Source organism: Homo sapiens, chromosome 8 (assembly GCF_000001405.40).
Source record: "Homo sapiens chromosome 8, GRCh38.p14 Primary Assembly".
Lineage (NCBI taxonomy): Eukaryota > Metazoa > Chordata > Mammalia > Primates > Hominidae > Homo > Homo sapiens.
Genome location: NC_000008.11, coordinates 102221766 through 102239394, shown reverse-complemented (window position 1 = coordinate 102239394; position 17629 = coordinate 102221766). Strand labels below are relative to the sequence as shown.

General features: G+C 41.6%; 1 protein-coding gene across 3 annotated transcripts in view, besides 5 other annotated features; it reads left to right on the top strand.

Annotated features, from left to right (window-relative positions):
- Positions 11-440: a silencer, noted in NCBI's record as "silent region_19436". NCBI's record gives its function as "represses an Ori minimal core promoter by ATAC-STARR-seq in GM12878 lymphoblastoid cells {active_cell/tissue: GM12878}" and the evidence as "EXISTENCE:reporter gene assay evidence [ECO:0000049][PMID:35858748]".
- The window catches only part of RRM2B (ribonucleotide reductase regulatory TP53 inducible subunit M2B), a 34461-nt gene continuing 17265 nt past the window's right edge, over positions 434-17629 (top strand). Inside the window, exons 1-5 of one of the 3 annotated variants that reach the window (NM_015713.5) lie at positions 434-568; positions 7091-7246; positions 13361-13477; positions 14377-14510; positions 15255-15349. In NM_015713.5, the coding sequence (NP_056528.2) occupies positions 521-568; positions 7091-7246; positions 13361-13477; positions 14377-14510; positions 15255-15349 (550 nt within the window). In that variant the 5' untranslated portion in view covers positions 434-520. Of the gene's footprint in view, positions 837-7090; positions 7247-13360; positions 13478-14376; positions 14511-15254; positions 15350-17629 lie in introns of all 3 variants that reach the window. The other 2 variants (NM_001172477.1, NM_001172478.2) reach the window with 2 other exon arrangements.
- Positions 511-610: an enhancer, noted in NCBI's record as "active region_27747". NCBI's record gives its function as "activates an Ori minimal core promoter by ATAC-STARR-seq in GM12878 lymphoblastoid cells {active_cell/tissue: GM12878}" and the evidence as "EXISTENCE:reporter gene assay evidence [ECO:0000049][PMID:35858748]".
- Positions 1914-3113: an enhancer, noted in NCBI's record as "MED14-independent group 3 enhancer chr8:103248510-103249709 (GRCh37/hg19 assembly coordinates)". NCBI's record gives its function as "activates an origin of replication core promoter dependent on BRD2, BRD4, P300/CBP and CDK7 cofactors, and independent of MED14, by STARR-seq in HCT116 cells {active_cell/tissue: HCT116}" and the evidence as "EXISTENCE:reporter gene assay evidence [ECO:0000049][PMID:35650434]".
- Positions 7466-7685: a silencer, noted in NCBI's record as "fragment chr8:103243938-103244157 (GRCh37/hg19 assembly coordinates)". NCBI's record gives its function as "represses an EF-1alpha promoter that drives an FKBP-Casp9 reporter gene in an ReSE screen in K562 erythroleukemia cells {active_cell/tissue: K562}" and the evidence as "EXISTENCE:reporter gene assay evidence [ECO:0000049][PMID:32094911]".
- Positions 10388-10888: an enhancer, noted in NCBI's record as "H3K27ac hESC enhancer chr8:103240735-103241235 (GRCh37/hg19 assembly coordinates)". NCBI's record gives its function as "activates a minimal SCP1, AML or CMV promoter by ChIP-STARR-seq in primed H9 embryonic stem cells {active_cell/tissue: H9 hESC(primed)}" and the evidence as "EXISTENCE:reporter gene assay evidence [ECO:0000049][PMID:30033119]".

Genomic DNA, 17629 nt, shown 5'->3' with positions numbered 1-17629 from the left:
TAAGGCGGGGCCAGCGGAAGCAGGGAGATTTCCTTAGGCCGCAGGCGGGGAAATGGGGCTGGCCGGGGTAGGCGGAGCCCCGAGGCAGGGGAGGCGTGGCTGGCAGAGGTAGGCGGTGCCCCAAGGCAGGCGGGGCTTGCCGAGACAGGGATAATCCCTTAGGCCACAGGCTGGGAGGCAGGGCAGGCCGAGGCGGGGAGGATCCCTTAGGCCGCAGTAGGGGAGGCGGGTCGGCCGAGGCGGGGAGAAACCCTTAGGCCGCAGGCGGGGAGGCGGGGCTGGCCGAAGTTAGGCGGAGCCCCGAGGCGGGGGAGGCGGGGCCGGGCCGGCGCAGGGAGAGTCACTCAATGGACAGGCGAGAAAGCAGGACCGGCGCGGCGGGGCGGGGCCGGCCGAGTCCCTAGAGCTGGGGGCGGGGCGGACCCAGCGGACCAGCGGACCACCTGGGTGCTGTCGTAGTTGGAGGTGGCCTGAGGAGCTCAGTTCCCTCAGCGCCCGTAGCTTCGGCGGAGTCTGCGCGATGGGCGACCCGGAAAGGCCGGAAGCGGCCGGGCTGGATCAGGATGAGGTAAATGTTGCTGTTGCGTCTTCCCCCTCACCGCAGTCACGCCAGCCCGTTAGATTGCAAGTTGCAGGACCGCTGTAGGAAATGTTATTCGCCGCGGTCAGGACAGGCCTGTCCGCCCGCCCTCGCCGCAGCCTGGCTTCGTCGTTGCGAGCGCCGGGGAGGCCGTCCCCGGGGAGGGCGGAGGAAGGAGCTGACTTTGGGTTTGCGTCCCGCTCGCTGCTCTGCCCCGGGGCCAGCCAAGGACGACGCTTGGAGGCCTCAGGCCGGGGTGAGACTTACCCCTGCGTTTATCCGCCTCACGCTCTCCCACCCTCCTTCCCTGTTTTGGAGCCCTGGCCAGGGAAACCGAGGCAAGGAAAGAGGACTGTGGCGGCTCTGCTGGAGAGGTGCATACCATTTGGGATGGTGACAAGGAGTTGGAGAACGCGTGTGGAAATTGACACAGGTGGCTGGGGTGAAGATGACAGGTAGAAGGGGACACGAAATCCTCATGACCTCCTCCCAGTGAAAAAATCAGGGTAGGAGGCCAGTTTTGCTCAGGCCCGGCTCCTTAACTAACTGAATCTTCGGGGTGTCACTTTCTTCCTTTATACAATGGAAGTGATACTTCAGAGAGAATTAAGTAAAATGCTTTATGCAAAGTGCCACGAAAATTGTAGGTGCTTAATAAGCCCAAGTTGTTCATCCAAGTTGTTTATGCTGATAAAAGTACCTAAAATAAATAAACCAGAATTTGTTAGACTGTAGGATTGTATGGTAGTTTAAACTGTTGCTGTATAATTTTCAAACACTGTCATTTTGCAAATACTTCTAAGCCCTTTGTGGACAAGAGAAATGCTTTTTGTACTACTGGAACCTGTTGCTGTGGTATCTTTGATTTAATACTGTGAAGATTTGGGGGAAACAAACGTTTCCACCCCAAGAGATTCATGCTTGGCCCTACATTTCTTTAGAAAGTTGTAGATTCCAGGTTTGAGATTTTATTTTATTTAACTTGATTTTTGTAAGCATTTAGTAACTAACTGTAAATATCCCTCAAGCTTTTTCTTCCTGTTTTGAAACAAATGCGTTTAGTACCAACTTCCCTACTCAAAGGGGAAAATTCAGACTGCTGTTTATGCTAATGGCACCAGCAGTGATTCAGGCTTAACACCTGGATATTACATTTTATTTATTACTCCTATCTCAATGATACAGACCCGCAAGGACAGACAGAATTTTAGATTCAGAATGAATTTTAGTGGTCCAAAAGTTTTTAACTTGAGATGCTGGGTTGCCTGAAGCACTTTGTTTTTCTAGATGCCAGAGTGCATAATAGGAGACCTGCATCAGAGTCACTTGGAGTATTTTGTAAAAAATGTAAATTGCTGGACCAACACCCCAAACATAGTGAATCAAAATCTCTTGAGATCTGCATTTTTAACAAGTACTTCAGGTGATCCTGGTACACATATTAAAACAAAAACAAAAAACCCCCCACTGTCTTAAAGGGTCCATAGATAGACTAGAAGGGGCTTTATAAATCTCCTGAAGTGATATGTAGATTTTGTATGTGCAGATGTGAATCTTCTGAGAAAGGGGTCCATAGTTATTGTCAATTTCTCAGAGTTAACTATTGCTAATCTAATTCATAGTCTATTGTCAAGGTAAAGTTTAGGCCAGAAAACATTAAATGGCATGCCCAGGACTCAGTAGAGGAGCTAAATTTAAAACCAAGTTCTTGCACCTGGGCGGGTATCCCATTGGTTCCGTCAGACTTTGTGGGAATAGAAGTGAAAATAATACTTACAAGTAGTGTATGACTATGACAACATACAGCTATTTTACAGAAGTAGAAGAGACATAAAGGCAAAGAAACGGAAGTGGTGGAATTGGGGCTGGATAGGAGGTAAGAGCCTGGTATGATGCCAGCCTAGATTGGGGCATCGTAAGTGCTTGCTGGGAAATCTTGACCTAAATTGTTGTCCTGACATGCCCAGGCATGTCTTCCAACTGGGTGACCAGAAATTGAGTCAGTCGGAAACTGGAAGTACCATTCTGGAAAAAACAGCAGAATGTCACTAAGGAATGCCTACTGCTAAACTTTATTTCAAATTCTCATCACTTTACACCTGTGCGGCTATAATAATTTTGTTGTTTCTCTATCTCCTATCTTACCTGCCATTCAATCCTAATTACCATTGCCAAGTTAATCCTTCATTAGACCAGTGCCTCAGTGTCACTGACCCTGTGTCCCCCAAAAAACTCCCAAAAGAGTCTCAATTCCTACCAAAAAGCCTGGCCAACACCTCAGGCTGGTGAAGTCTTGTTGAAGCTGCTTTTTTCATGCTAACTGCCACATCTTAATTCAAGTCCTCATTTCCATCTTTGAAATTGGTTCCTTAGTTGCTTGCAAAATCTAGTTTTTTATCAATTAATCCTATACGTGGTTTTCTGATTAGTCTTCCTAATGCCACCTCTATTCATGTTAATTCCCATTCAGAAACTCTCCATGACTATTTGTACCCCCAAATCTGTGGGGTACAGATTTTCAAACTGTACCCTGCTATGAACGCCAGCACCTGGGGTTGGGGGCAAATGGGGAGAATTGGAGTATGAGCCTTCTAGACCTCCGATGTTTGAAGATCTTTGGCCACAAAATTGATTCCTAACCTCTTAGTCTGATTTATCTTAAGAGTCTAGATCCTTTGCTTTAGCCAAATCACATCATTCCTACTTTTGCTTTTCCTTGTCCTGCATCCATTTCAGCCTGTTTTAATCTCAGCTGGCTTCTCTTCTTTCATCTGCCCTTTAAATATCAGCATTCTCTAAGACTGTATCCTCAGTTGTCTTGCTGCTCTATATGTTCTCTCTGGATAATCACATCCATTCCCTTGGCAACCACTAATGGGATCTCCATCACTCGTGTTCTGCAGTGTTATATTTTTAACTGCTTACTGGACATCTTGAAACTGAATTCATTATCTTTTCTATTCTTTTTTTTTTGAGACGGAGTCTCACTCTGTCACCAGGCTGGAGTACATACAGTGGCACAATCTCGGCTCACTGCAACCTCTGCCTCTTGGGTTCAAGTGATTCTCCTGCCTCAGCCTCCCGAGTAGTTGGGAGTACAGGCGTACGCCACCACGCCCGGCTAATTTTTGTATTTTTAGTAGAGACGGGGTTTCACCATGTTGGCCAGGATGGTCTCAATCTCTTGACCTTGTGATCCGCCCGCCTCGGCCTCCGAAAGTGCTGGGATTACAGGCGTGAGGCACCACGCCGGGCCTGAATTCATTATCTCTTCTAATGACCTAGTTGACTTTGTGAGGATATTGTGTTTGTAACTTTGTTGTTGTCGCCTGGCTTGGTGGGAGGAGTTAAATTAAACTTCCGTTAAACATCTAATGTGAGAAGCAAAATTTTTGTCTGATTTATTTATTTATTCTCCAGGTACTGAGCACCTTGTGTGTGCCTTTTAGATCTTGTTATCACCCAGTTACTGGAGCTGGAAACATCAAGGGCATCTTTAACTGTTCTTGCCCCTTGTCCCAAATTCAAATTTTTAGGAAGAATAATTCATTCTACTTCTGAATATCACTTAAATCAATTTTTGTGTGTGTTTCTAGTTCAGGCAAGAGATGGGTAGTACAATAATCTTTTCATTGTTCTTTCTGCCTCTAATTTCTCTTCTAATCTAGCAATGTTTCTAGAAAAGCGATCTTAAAAGATATATCTGATTATGTTATTTGCCTTATTAAAAACCTTCAGTGGCTCCCAATAGCATACATCTTAGAGTTATTAGATGCCAAAGTGTTTTATATCAAAGCAGACCACTTTAACCTCCAAAATTTTTTAAAAATCAGATTACTACTAACCAATTTTGCTCTTTTATTAACCCTGTAAAAATATAGATACCCATGAGCTTTGAAATTTCTATGTCTAGTAGGCTGCTCTCTCATGCACCCATATATTTCTTTTTGTTTTGTTTTGTTTTTTGAGATGGAGTCTTGCTCTGTCACCAGGCCTGAGTGCAGTGGCGTGATCTCAGCTCACTGCAATCTCTGCCTTCTGGGTTCAAGTGATTCTCCTGCCTCAGCCTCCCGAGTAGCTGGGACTACAGGTACGCGCCACCACACCCAGCTAATTTTTGTATTTTTAGTAGTGACAGGGTTTCACCATGTTGGCCAGGATGGTCTCGATCTCTTGACCTTATGATCCGCCCGCCTCGGCCTCCCAAAGTGCTGGGATTACAGGCGTGAGCCACCGCGCCCTGCCCATCATATCTTTTTTCACATTTTTTTTTTCTTCTAAAATATGGGTTCTTAGATTAGGTCCACAGAGGGTACTGTGGAGAGCCTAGAGTTTCAAGATGCATGAACTTTCTGAAATTGTATTCAAATGTATGTTTGTGCACGTTTCTAAGCATTATGAAATAATACGTCATCTCTAGCCCAGCTCAAAGGTTGATGTTGGTTAACCTCCTTCTCTTCACATTGCAAAATCCCTCATAATACACTCCTAATCCAGCTACTCCTCTTAATAGTCTACAGGTTATCAGGATAGAACAGGAGAATGTGTATACAAATGTGACTTTCATTCTAACTTAAAGGTACTAGTCTTCAGCAGATCAGTTATTTATCATCATTTAAAAACTTCATTCATCGTCAGGGCATTTGGTGCTGAAGAGTGACTGCTTGTGATGTCCTTCCCAACTTCCAGTAACAAAAGTATAGAAGTTCCCAACTTTCATACTTTGAGTATATCCCAAATTTCAGTAATAAAAATAACAAAGGCCAGGAGTTTGAGACCAGCCGGGGCAACATAGCATGACCCCCATCTCTACAAAAAATTTAAAAATTATCCAGGTGTGGTGACGTGTGCACATAGTCCTAGCTACTTGGGAGGCTGAGACAGGAGGATTGCTTGAGCACAGGAGTTTGAGACTGCAGTGATCTATGATCACACTACTCTGATCTATGCACTCTAGCCTGGGTGACGGAGCAAGACCCAGTCTTAAAAAAAAATTGCTCAAATATTTGTGGAATGAGTACCAACTAAGTGCCAGGTACTGTGCTAAGCACAAGGGATTCTACAAGGGTGAAAATGGATTTTACTTTCAAGAAGCACAGGAAATTAGAGACAATTAACAGGGAATTAAATTGCAGTGAGCTATGTACTTATATCTGGAACCTAACCCAGACCTTTGGGGTGATGTGAAGAGGGGAAAATGTGATTGATTTTAATGGTTATTGGGTTGTCTCACTGATGTATTGTGGTCCTATGTTAAATTAAAATTTTCTAAAGGTACCTAGAAATCTGAGTACAGGAAGAAGAGAAATTAGCAGCCCATTTACTTAGCTAACATGCTTGACACGATACTAAGCTCTGGGAACATCACAACAAATAAAAATTGGTTCCTCTTCTCCAGGGCTCAAGTGCTGTATCTGAGGAGGCCCATACCTTTAAACAAGTAGTTAAAATCAAGACCATCTGTACTGTGATGGCAGTAGGTATAAAGCACGCAAGCCCCCCTGTATTTGCATAGCCGTATGCTTGTATTTTGGGCTTTCTTCTTGCTAAGCCTTAGCCTCCTCTGCTATAACAGTTGCTTTGGCGAGGTGACAATGGGTGGACGCTGGAGTAAGGAACATAACGGGCCTGTCACAGTAGAGAGAGAGACAGTTTTGGATAGGAGTCTAGAAGTTGTATGTGTTCTAATCCTGGTTTATACACGTTTAGCTTATTTGTATGTCCTTTGTTTATACTCATTCTCACACATGTGCGACTCTTCTGATTCTCTTCTGATGTTCCCGCTATTTTAAAAATATATGCATGGCACCATTTGCTCTTAGAGTGCCATCGTGTTTTGAAGCAGTGTGAATACAGGTATGTGTTTCTCACTTTATTCACAAAGCTTTGAGACAGCCCACAGTGAGATCATATGCAGTAATGTTAGAATGTAAATAGCAGTAACAAATTGGAGTATCAGAAGGCTAAGATGAACAAAGGTTAAGTTGTAGGTAATGAGTTTTCAGATAAGTATTATATTATTTCAGTGAAGAGTAGAAAGAAAAAACATTAAAGTAGCTTATACCAGTAGCTTATTCATTCCAGCAATCTTATCAGAGAGGCTCTAAAGGGACATTTTGTTCACAAACTTAGAAATTTGCCCATCATGATGACATTTATGGGTCTAGCTTTGTACTTATCCTCAAACTAGCAATAATTACAATAATTTTTGAGTGCTTACTATATACCAGGCTTTGTTTAAAGCACTTTTAATCATCAGAATAAACCTATGAGGTAGGAATTATTTTACAGCTGAGGAGACTGAGGGTTAGAGAAGTTAAGCAGCTTTCTATGGTCACACACGCACTTCCTAACAGTATTAGTCAGCTACCAGGTAACAGTAAGGATTCAACCCAGGCAGACAGGCTCTCAAACCAATGCCGTCTCCCTGACTTCCTTAGATGTATGTTTAGGTATGAATAAAGAAGAAATGTCTATATAAAAGGCGTGTTTGTACTTTATTTTTCAAAGAGATCATCTTCAGACACCAACGAAAGTGAAATAAAGTCAAATGAAGAGCCACTCCTAAGAAAGAGTTCTCGCCGGTTTGTCATCTTTCCAATCCAGTACCCTGATATTTGGAAAATGTATAAACAGGCACAGGCTTCCTTCTGGACAGCAGAAGAGGTACGTGGCATTGCCTCCAAGAGCATTCACATCCTATAGTGCAGTGTTCCTTCTTGTTTTACAGGATATTGAATAACTTTAACTTATACATTGAAGAAGATCAGTTGTAGAAGATAAGTGTTGGAATTACTGAGACTAAATATGATGTTCTCAATGTTTTAGTTTAGATTACTATCTATAAACAAGTTTTCTGCTGCAACAATGGCATCTAATTCTGCCAGATTTTTATTTCCAATATATTAGAACATTTTTTTTCTTTTTCTTTTTTTTTTTTTTTTTTGAGACAGAGTCTCACTCTGTCACCCAGGCTAGAGTGCAGTGGCGCGATCTCAGCTCACTGCAAACTCCACCTCCCGGGTTCAAGCGATTCTCCTGCCTCAGCTTCCTGAGTAGTTGGGATTACAGGCGCCAGCCACCACGCCCAGCTAATTTTTGTATTTTTAGTAGAGATGGGGTTTCACCACATTGGCCAGGCTGGTCTCAAACTCCTGACCTTGTGATCCACCTGCCTCAGCCTCCCAAAGTGCTGGGATTACAGGCATGAGCCACCACGCCCAGCCAACATTTTCTATTTTTAAACAGACTTTTAGTTTGATATGGCCAAGTAAGACTTGTCTGACTAGTCTTACAAGGTCAGCAGAATAAGTAAAATTGCAGCTGTAGTCAAAAAATGAGTGAAAGCTGTAGCAACTCTGCTTTCAATTGAGAGATTTATCTGATTGTACAAAATGAGCCGCTGCATGAAGAGTTTGATCCTCTAGGCTGTGGACTCACTCCCGAGTCAGCCAGGTGGAACTCACAGTGCTGCTCCCAGTTTGGCCCTGCCCTCAGCTACATCAAACGTGACAGAGTTGCCACTAATAGATCAGCTGTAGAAAGCTTTTTGTTAATTCCACCTGGGAGATCAGTTGAACACAGCAAACTAGAAAATATTTGCTGGTTGGTAAGGACAGTGGTCATGAAAATGATTGCCCTGTAGTCTAACTGAACAAATAGTTATTGTCTTGATCTTTAAATATAATGGGTGATACCTATACAGCACTCTTGTTCTGTATATGTTTGTATATGTATCTCTATAGATAGATGTATCTATTTGGATAGATAGATTTGAATCTATTTTTCAAGACATTAATTCTATAAATGTTAAACACATGCTGTTAAGAATGCAGGCTATGGGGTCAGACTGCCTAGGTACAAATCCTGTGCCACTACTTACTAGCTATGGAACTGGGAAAGTTACATAACCTCTCTGTGTATCCTCATCAGTAAATTAGGCTAATTGTACTTGGCTATTTGTGTTGTTATGAGGATTTATGAGATATTTAAAATGGTAGTTGACACTTAGTAGGCACTAAATAAATGTAAACTATTATTTTATGCACAGAAGGGGGAAAATTTAACCTAGAAATCAGAAGGCACCAGTGTTTGAAGCTTCTATTACACTAATTTTACCCACTTACCCATCTTTGTTATATTGTAGTGTTATATTGTCAACATCTTTGTTATATTATAGTTGACATATAGAGCAAAAAACCAAACCACACAAAAACAAACACCCAATATTTTCATACGTGGTCATAATGCTTGACACACCTGACTGTCCCTAACTGTCTGTGGTTTTTAGAAAGGTTTTTTGTTAGATACGGTTCAGAGAACGAGTGGAATACGCAGGTGGCTTTTTCGTTCATTATGTTAAAAAGGTACTTAGGATTCTTAGGATTCTTGAAATTCATTTGGAAATTAACTTGCATCTTTTAGCAAAGGTAATATGTGACCTGTAACAAAGCAACACTAATTTTTAAAAACTGAAATCTACAGGTTGGTACGTGTTCTGTAGCTAATTATAGGACGATTCAAATACATATTTTGAAGATAAATCAAACACATTTTTAGTTCCACATATTTTTCATTTACAAATTATGTAAGTTACCATTTAGTCAGCTTAAATGGTTGAGCTTAATTCTTAAATATGGCTGATCAACAGAAACCCTGATCAAAAGACAAAAGTCTGGGGTTTGGGACTTTTTTCTTTAAAGCCACTCAGGCAGTTATGATAATTGTCTAGTTTGGAATCAGTATTTAAATGATGAAATTGAGAATTTGCTCAAATAAGAAAAAGCTAGGCAGGAAGGGAATATTTCCAATGTAGTGTAAATAAAATTTAGAAGACCTTTGAAACTGAGTGTTCAAAGAAATAATTTTAATATTTAAGAGGAAGCATCTTACAATATTAACATTTAATATCAAATATATAATATATAAGAGGTCGAGCATGGTGGCTCACACCTGTAATCCAAGCACTTTGGGAGGCTAAAGTGGGCAGATCACTTGAGGTCAGGAGTTTGAGACCAACCTGGACAACATGGTAAAACCCTGTCTCTAGTAAAAATACAAAAATTAGCCAGGCGTGGCAGCAGGTGCCTGTAATCCCAGCTACTCAGGAGGTTGAGGCAGGAGAATCGCTTGAGCCCAGGTAGCAGAGGCTGCAGTGAGCCCAGATCATGCCACTGTATTCCAGCCTGGGCAACAGAGTGAGACTGTCTCCGAAAAAAAACCTGAGGGGTTATAATATATATGAATGAAGAAGATGTCCTTCAGTTAAACCTGAGTTGAGCTTTTAATAGAACAGAACTTGATTTTTAGGTTGCATATTTTAAAAGATGAAGACAAATATTTCCTCCACCCTGCTCCGTTGTATCCCCAGTGCTTAGCACGGTGTCAGGTGTGCAGTAAGTGCTCAGCAAACACTTAAAGAATAAATTAGTGGGAAAAAGGATTTGGAAAATAGCATGTGATTAAAAGATTGGGACATTAGTCCTTTTTGGAAAGGTCAAAGAGATTGAGGCTTGAGGCTTTGTGGGTTTTTTTTTTTTTGTTGTTGTTGTTGTTTTGTTTTTGAGACAGAGTTGCACTCTGTTGCCAGGCTGGAGTGCAATGGCACGATCTTGGCTCACTGCAACCTCCTCCTCCTGGGTTCAAGCGATTCTCCTGCCTCAGCCTCCCAAGTAGCTGGGACTACAGGCATGCGCCACCATGCCTAGCTAATTTTGTATTTTTAGTAGAGACAGGGTTTCACTATGTTGACCAGGTTGGTCTCAATCTCTTGACCTCATGATCCACTCACCTTGGCCTCCCAAAGTGCTGGGATTACAGGCGTGAGCTACCGTGCCCAGCCGAGGGTTTGTTAGAGTAAATAAAAGAAAGGCAAAAGACAAAGACAATTACATATTTCAACTGTTCATGAAGTTAATTATGAAAAATATTTAAAAGATTTTTTCTGACAAAATTGAAGCAGGATAGTTTCTCCGATCCCTTCGTGGGTGGGAACTGGAATGCGCATGCTGGAGCTAGCTGGCTGCTTTGGCGCTGGCAGGGGCAAACTCCACTCACTTGAACCCATTGCGCTCAGCCCCTTGAGGGAGGGAGCATGCAGGTGAGCAGGTGCAGGAGCTTGGGTGAATTCTTTTGGGCACCGGCAGGAGCAAAACTCCATGCAGGCCTCATGGCAGCATCTGTGAGGAGTACCCACAACCCTTGAAGCCCCAGAAGGAATGTGTTATAGTTAACTCTCTTTTAGCTTTTGCTGTCCGCAGATGGCTTAAGTTTTAACGGCTCAGTGGGCCCTCTGCCTTTTCACATGGGGCAGTTGGTCTCCACCAGTGAGGGCAGAGGGTCAGTGTGACAGCTTTTAGCATCCACACCTGTGGCACCCACGCTCTTGTTCAGCATCCAGGAAAAATCAGATCACATGAACAAATCGAAGGGTGGTGAATACAGAGGATTTTGTTGCCAATGAAAGTGGCTCTCAGTGGGAAGAGGAGCTGGAAAGGGGATGGAGTGGAAAAATAATCTTCTCCTGGAGTCTGTCTGGCCGTCCCCAGCTGACTCCTCTCCAAAGGAATGCTGTCAAGCTGTCCCTCTGAAGTTAAGCTGCTTCTCTCCGACATCCAACCGTAGTCTCTGACATCCAGCTGCTTCTCCTCTTCTCCTCTCCTCTTCTCTGCTGGTAGAGCCTGGGGTTTTTATGGGCACAGGGTAGGGGAGTGGGGCCATGGGTGGTTTTGGAAAGGGCAACATTATAGTGGGAAAACAGGAATACATGTCACTTTGGGCTGCAGTTCCAGGATTGAGGGTGGAGTCCTCGCTGGGGACCATCTTCTTCTGCCCAGAATTTCCCTGCCTCCTGTCCCTATCAAAATGATGTCTATATATGCTGTGTGATGGTATTTGGAGGTGGAGCCTTGGGAGGTAATTAGGTCATGTGGGTGGAGCCCTCATGAATAGGATTAGTGCCCTTAAGAGACATGAGAGATATGATCTCTCTCTCTCTGCTATGTCAGGATACAGCAAGAAGGTGGCCATCTGTAAATCAGTAAGAGGGCCTTCACCAATAACCCAACCATGCTGACATCCTGATCTTGGGCTTTCAGCTTCCAGAAATGTTCAAAAAGAAAAATAAAAGTATGCTGTTTAAGCAACCCAGTCAATGGTAATTTGTTATAGCCCCCAGAACTGACTAAGGGAAGGTACATTTAAAGACAATTTTTGGCTGGGTGCAGTGGCTCAGGCCTGTACTCCCAGCACTTTGGGAGGTTGAGGCGGGCAGATCACTTGAGCTCAGGAGTTCAAAACCAGCCTGGGCAATATGGCAAAACCCTGTCACTACCAAAAATACAAAAAATTAGCCAGGCATGGTTTTGTGTGCCTGTGGTCCCACCTGTGCCTCTGGAGGCTGAGGTGGGAGGATTGCTTGAGCCTAGGAGGCAGAGACTGTAGTGAGCTGAGATTGTGCCACCGCACTCCAGACTGGGTGACGGAGTGAAACCCCATCTCAAAAATTAAAAAAATAAACAATTTTTAAATTGTAGGTTTCACCAAATTCTAAAGTACGTCTCCCTTAATTCCAAAGACTAATTCTAATGAACATTTTCAAAAATATTTCCATTCCCAATGGAAGCCATACCTATGTATAAACTGCTTTAAAAAAAAAACTGGGTTGTTGGCCACCTGTGATGGCTCACACCTGTAATCCCAACACTTTGAGAGGCTGAGGTAGGAGGATTGCTTGAGGCCAGGAGATTGAGACCAGCCTGGGCAACATAGTGAGACCCCATCTCTTTAAAAAAACAAAACAAGGCCAGCTGTGGTGGCTCGTGCCTGTAATCCCAGCACTTTGGGAGGCCGAGGCAAACAGATCATGAGGTCAAGAGATTGAGACCATCCTGGCCAACATGGTGAAACTCCGTCTCTACTAAAAAATACAAATAATTAGCTGGGCATGGTGGCGCCTGCCTGTAGTCCCAGCTACTCGGGAGGCTGAGGCAGGAGGATTGCTTGAACCTGGGAGGCGAAGGTTGCAGTGAGCCAAGATCATGCCACTGCACTCTAGCCTGGCGACAGAGCGAGACTTCATCTCAAAACAAAACAAAACTCAGGTTGTTACCTGCCTGGCATTACTTCTGGATGTAAAAGTAGACTGATTACCTGGCAGTAAAGTAGCAGCTACAGTTGGTTAATAGGTGCCTAATTATCTAACACCATAGCACATATTATATAAAATGTTAAAGCAGTGACTGTTGAGATTCATTAGTTTATTTACTTCAGTGCCTTCTTGACTAGTTTTTACTCTCCCCCCTCCCCTTTTAGCCCTTCTTTCATTTGCTTCAGTGCCACTAGATTATGTTAATTTGAATATTTTTAAAGTACATCCTGGCCAGCTTCTTAATTAGCCAGAAAATTCGATTCCATCTTAATTTTTTAAAGATAAATTTTATTGTGTATGTTTAAGGTGTATGACATGATGTTATATATATATATATATAATAAAATGGTTACCCATTATGTAACAAATTAATATTTCCTTTGCCTCACATAGTTTAGCTGTTCACCCCCCCACCAAGAATAGCTGTAATCTACTCATTTAACAAAAATCCTGAATATAATACACTTGTTAACATAACTTTTTTTTTTATTTCTTTGCAGTGCTAACATCTTTCTTTTTCCATAGTTTACTGGTAGTGGGATATTCCTACTTAACAATAGAAGTTAGTTTCCCAAACACTTTGAGAAGAACTTAACTCCAAATTAAAATTTTTGAAAATCTTTTTATTCCAGGTCGACTTATCAAAGGATCTCCCTCACTGGAACAAGCTTAAAGCAGATGAGAAGTACTTCATCTCTCACATCTTAGCCTTTTTTGCAGCCAGTGATGGAATTGTAAATGAAAATTTGGTAAGATTTTTGCTTGATTTAACTTTTGTTCTCCTTTAGCAGTTAAATGATGATAATGTCAGTAAGATTATTAAATTCAGCCAAAGACAAGATGTCTAAAAAATGAACTAGATGAAGCTTAACTCTTTAAATGTTTTTCTGATGAATTGCTTATCCTTTGACCAGCAAACTATTATTAAATCAAGCATAAATGATATGAATCAAAACTATTTACAGTGCATTAACATGAGTTTGATTTTTACTCTCAGATAGTAAGCTTAATAGAGAACCTGCACCTTAACCTTTGGAGCTCTGTAATAGAACACTGGATTCTGGCTCCCCATTTTAAAACTTGATTATGGTTGATCAGGAGGCATAATTTCTTTTTAAAAAGAATTAGAAAGATAGGCCGGGTACGGTGGCTCATACCTGTAATCCCAGCACTTTGGGAGGCTGAGGTGGGCGGATCACGAGGTCAAGAGATTGAGACCATCCTGGCCAACATGGTGAAAACCCATTTCTACTAAAAATACAAAAATTAGCTGGGCGTGTTGGCGCATGCCTGTAGCCCCAGCTATTTGGGAGGCTGAAGCAGGAGAATTTCTTGAACCTGGGAGGCAGAGGTTGCAGTGAGCCAAGATGGCGCCACTGTACTCCAGCCTGGTGACAGATCGAGACTCCATCTCAAAAAAAAAAAAAAAAAAAAAAAAGAATATACTATGCAAATAATTTACCATGGAGAATTGATGGATAAACAGTACTGCCTAGGATACTGCTTAAAATAATCCATAAGGTCTTTCTGACCTGTTTGTTACATGACAGGCAGTTTTTAAGCGATAATGCTGATGTCCAGATTCTGATTTGCAGTGTTTAATGAGAGCCTATAGAACTGGATATATCTATTTTCCTTATCTTCTTAGGTGGAGCGCTTTAGTCAGGAGGTGCAGGTTCCAGAGGCTCGCTGTTTCTATGGCTTTCAAATTCTCATCGAGAATGTTCACTCAGAGATGTACAGTTTGCTGATAGACACTTACATCAGAGATCCCAAGAAAAGGTATTGTTGGGATTTTATTTACAAAATATTGCTTACGGCTTGGTTATGTTCAGATCAGAATTTATTCCAAAACTCAATGTTAAGGAAAGATTATTCAAGTATGGAAGTTTCTGAGCATAATATTTTCTATTGCTTAATAATGTATTGGGTTTTAAAAAAAACTTGTTATAGAACCAGTTAACCTTTAGATATTTTATCTTTAAGAACTGTTCAGTAGCATCTTCTGTTTAGAAATTGAATACTCAAATTTAGCTGGTTTTGTATGAGACCAGATTCAAACCAATAATTTGAGTTTTATTTCTGTTCTATGGACATGTAAAAATGTATAAAAACTACAGATCTGGTAGCATACCGTAGAGTTACAATTATTATCTCTGATTAAGTTTAGTCCAATTAAGAAAAACAAGTGAGGCCAAGGCATGGTGGCTCATGGCTGTAATCCCAGCACCTTGGGAGGCCGAAGCAGGTGGATCACGAGGTCAGGAGATTGAGACCATCCTGGCTAACACAGTGAAACCACGTCTCTACTAAAAATACTAGCCGGGCGTGGTGGCGGGCACCTGTCGTCCTAGCTACTCGGGAGGCTGAGGCAGGAGAATGGCATGAACCCGGGAGGTGGAGCTTGCAGTGAGCCGAGATCGTGCCACTGCACTCCAGCCTGGGCAACAGAGCGAGACTCTGTCTCAAAAAAAAAAAAAGAAAAACAAGTGAATAACTTTGCTGTTCATTCTTTTGTTTTTACAGGGAATTTTTATTTAATGCAATTGAAACCATGCCCTATGTTAAGAAAAAAGCAGATTGGGCCTTGCGATGGATAGCAGATAGAAAATCTACTTTTGGTATGTGGCTCTAATTTATGTATGATCAGATTTGCCTAAGGTGATATGACAGTATTTTATGTGGTGTGACTATCCAGTACGAATCAAAGTTACAGCATGGAAAAGGAGTACAAATGTCTCAAATGCACCTTTACCAAAATCATTATTCCTAATAATTAATTAGAAAGTGGTGATAAAGCTGTTACCTATTCTACTTAATAAGTTGGAAGTTGAAAAGTTAAGATGTTAGTGCATAATTACAGTTAAACAGGAGTCAGTCACATAGCAATAACAAGAGTATTATAGCAATTCACAGTTTGTATCTGGCTTTTAAGTTTATTTTAGGAATTTTTTTTTTTTTTTTTTTTTTTGAGACGGAGTCTCGCTCTGTCACCTAGGCTGGAGTGTGGTGGCGTGATCCTGGCTCACTGCAACTGCTGCCTTCCAAGTTCAAGCAATTCTCCCTGCCTCAGCCTCCTGAGTAGCTGGGATTACAGGCACCTACCACCACGCTCAGCTTATTTTTGTATTTTTTAATAGAGATGGGGGTTTTGCCATGTTGGCCAGACTAGTCTTGAACTCTTGATCTCAGGTGACCCGCCCACCTTGGCCTCCCAAAGTGCTGGGACTGCAGGCATGAGCCACTGTGCCTGGCCTATTTTAGAAATTTAAAGCAAGTGAAATCTTAACATTTTTCAGGAAACAAATATCTAGTTTCTCAAAAACTAAAGATTAGTGTAATCAACTAGGACAAAACCAATTTGTAATAACAGGCTTATTTTTCATAGGTAAGCTAAATGCAAACACCCTTCTGGCTGAGTTGAGATCCCATAGCATTTTTTTAAGGAAGTGTATCATATTATGTCTTATACATAGTAGTTGCTCAATAAATACTTACTAAATTTAATTAAAATATTTATATATTTCATTTGGATAGCTCTAAGTACCCATCTCATTCTTATCTATTTTTAATTGGTGTTCTTTACTTTCTGGTTTTATTCTTTATGTGAGGAAGCAAGTCTCAAAATTTTTGGTCTCAGGCCCCTTTGTACTCTTAAAAATTATTGAGCACTCCAAAGTGCCTTTATTTGGGTAGGTTATGGGTATTGTTATTTTTGCATTAGAAATTAACATTGAGATAATTTAAAAATATTTATTAGTGCATTCTAAGATAGCAATAATCAACCCATTATATTTTAATACAGATAACACTTTTATATAAGTTTCTATATTTTCCAAAAAAAAGAATAGCATGCTTTTAAATTTCTGTAACTCTTTTAAATGTCTGACTTAATAGGAAACAGTTGGAGTACCATATCTGCCTTTGCATTCGATTTGTTGCAGTGTATATGTATATAGTATATGCCTCATTTAAATATGTATTATAGTTAGAAAAGGGAGGAATATTTTATTTAGCTTTTCAGATTATTACGGATATGTCATGTAGCCTCTAGAAAATACCATTGTAAAGTATGAGAGACTGGTAGTTAAAAAAAAATAATGCCTTAATGTTATTATGAAAATAGTTTTGACCTCACAGGTCTCCTGGGTCTGTGGATCTCTCAGGGACTCTTGGACCACACTGAAGAACCAGTGATATAGTGCGTATATGGGCCAGCATGTAGTATACCAGGGATGAAGCAGATATGTTTGCCTCCTTGCCTTCAGTTCATTTCAAGAATGAGAAAAGCAGCCAGGCATGGTGGCTCACGCCTGTAATCCCAGTGCTTTGGAAGACTGAGACAGGTGATCACTTGAGGCCAGCAGTTGAAGACCAGTCTGGGCAACAAAGCAAGGCCCCCATCTCTACAACAAATTTAAAAACTAGCCAGGTGTGGTGGCATGCACCTGTATACCCTGCTACTTGGGAGGCTGAGAGAGGAGGACCACTTAAGCCCAGGTGTTTGAGGCTACAGTGAGCTATGATCCACTGTGCTGCAGCCTGGGTGACAGAGCAAGACCCAGACTCTAAAAAAAAAAAAAAAATTTAAATAGGAATGAGAAAATCACTGGTTCTCAATATATGTAAAAGTCATCTGGAGAATTTGTGGAAAAACTTTTAAGAATCCTGCCAAAACTGATGTAGGAGGCCCAGGTGGGACTGAGGAATCTGCATTTTGTATTCAGCTGATTCCCTCACAAGGAGCTTCAGAAACACTTTGGGAAATGCTGGCTTTAGAGAAAAAAGAAGGGAAGAGGCAGAGTGTTCCATATACGCTGAAAATATTAGTATGGGTAGGTAGTGATGAAAAATGATGAGCAGGCCCACGGAAAGCATGTATTTCATGAACTACCCAAGAA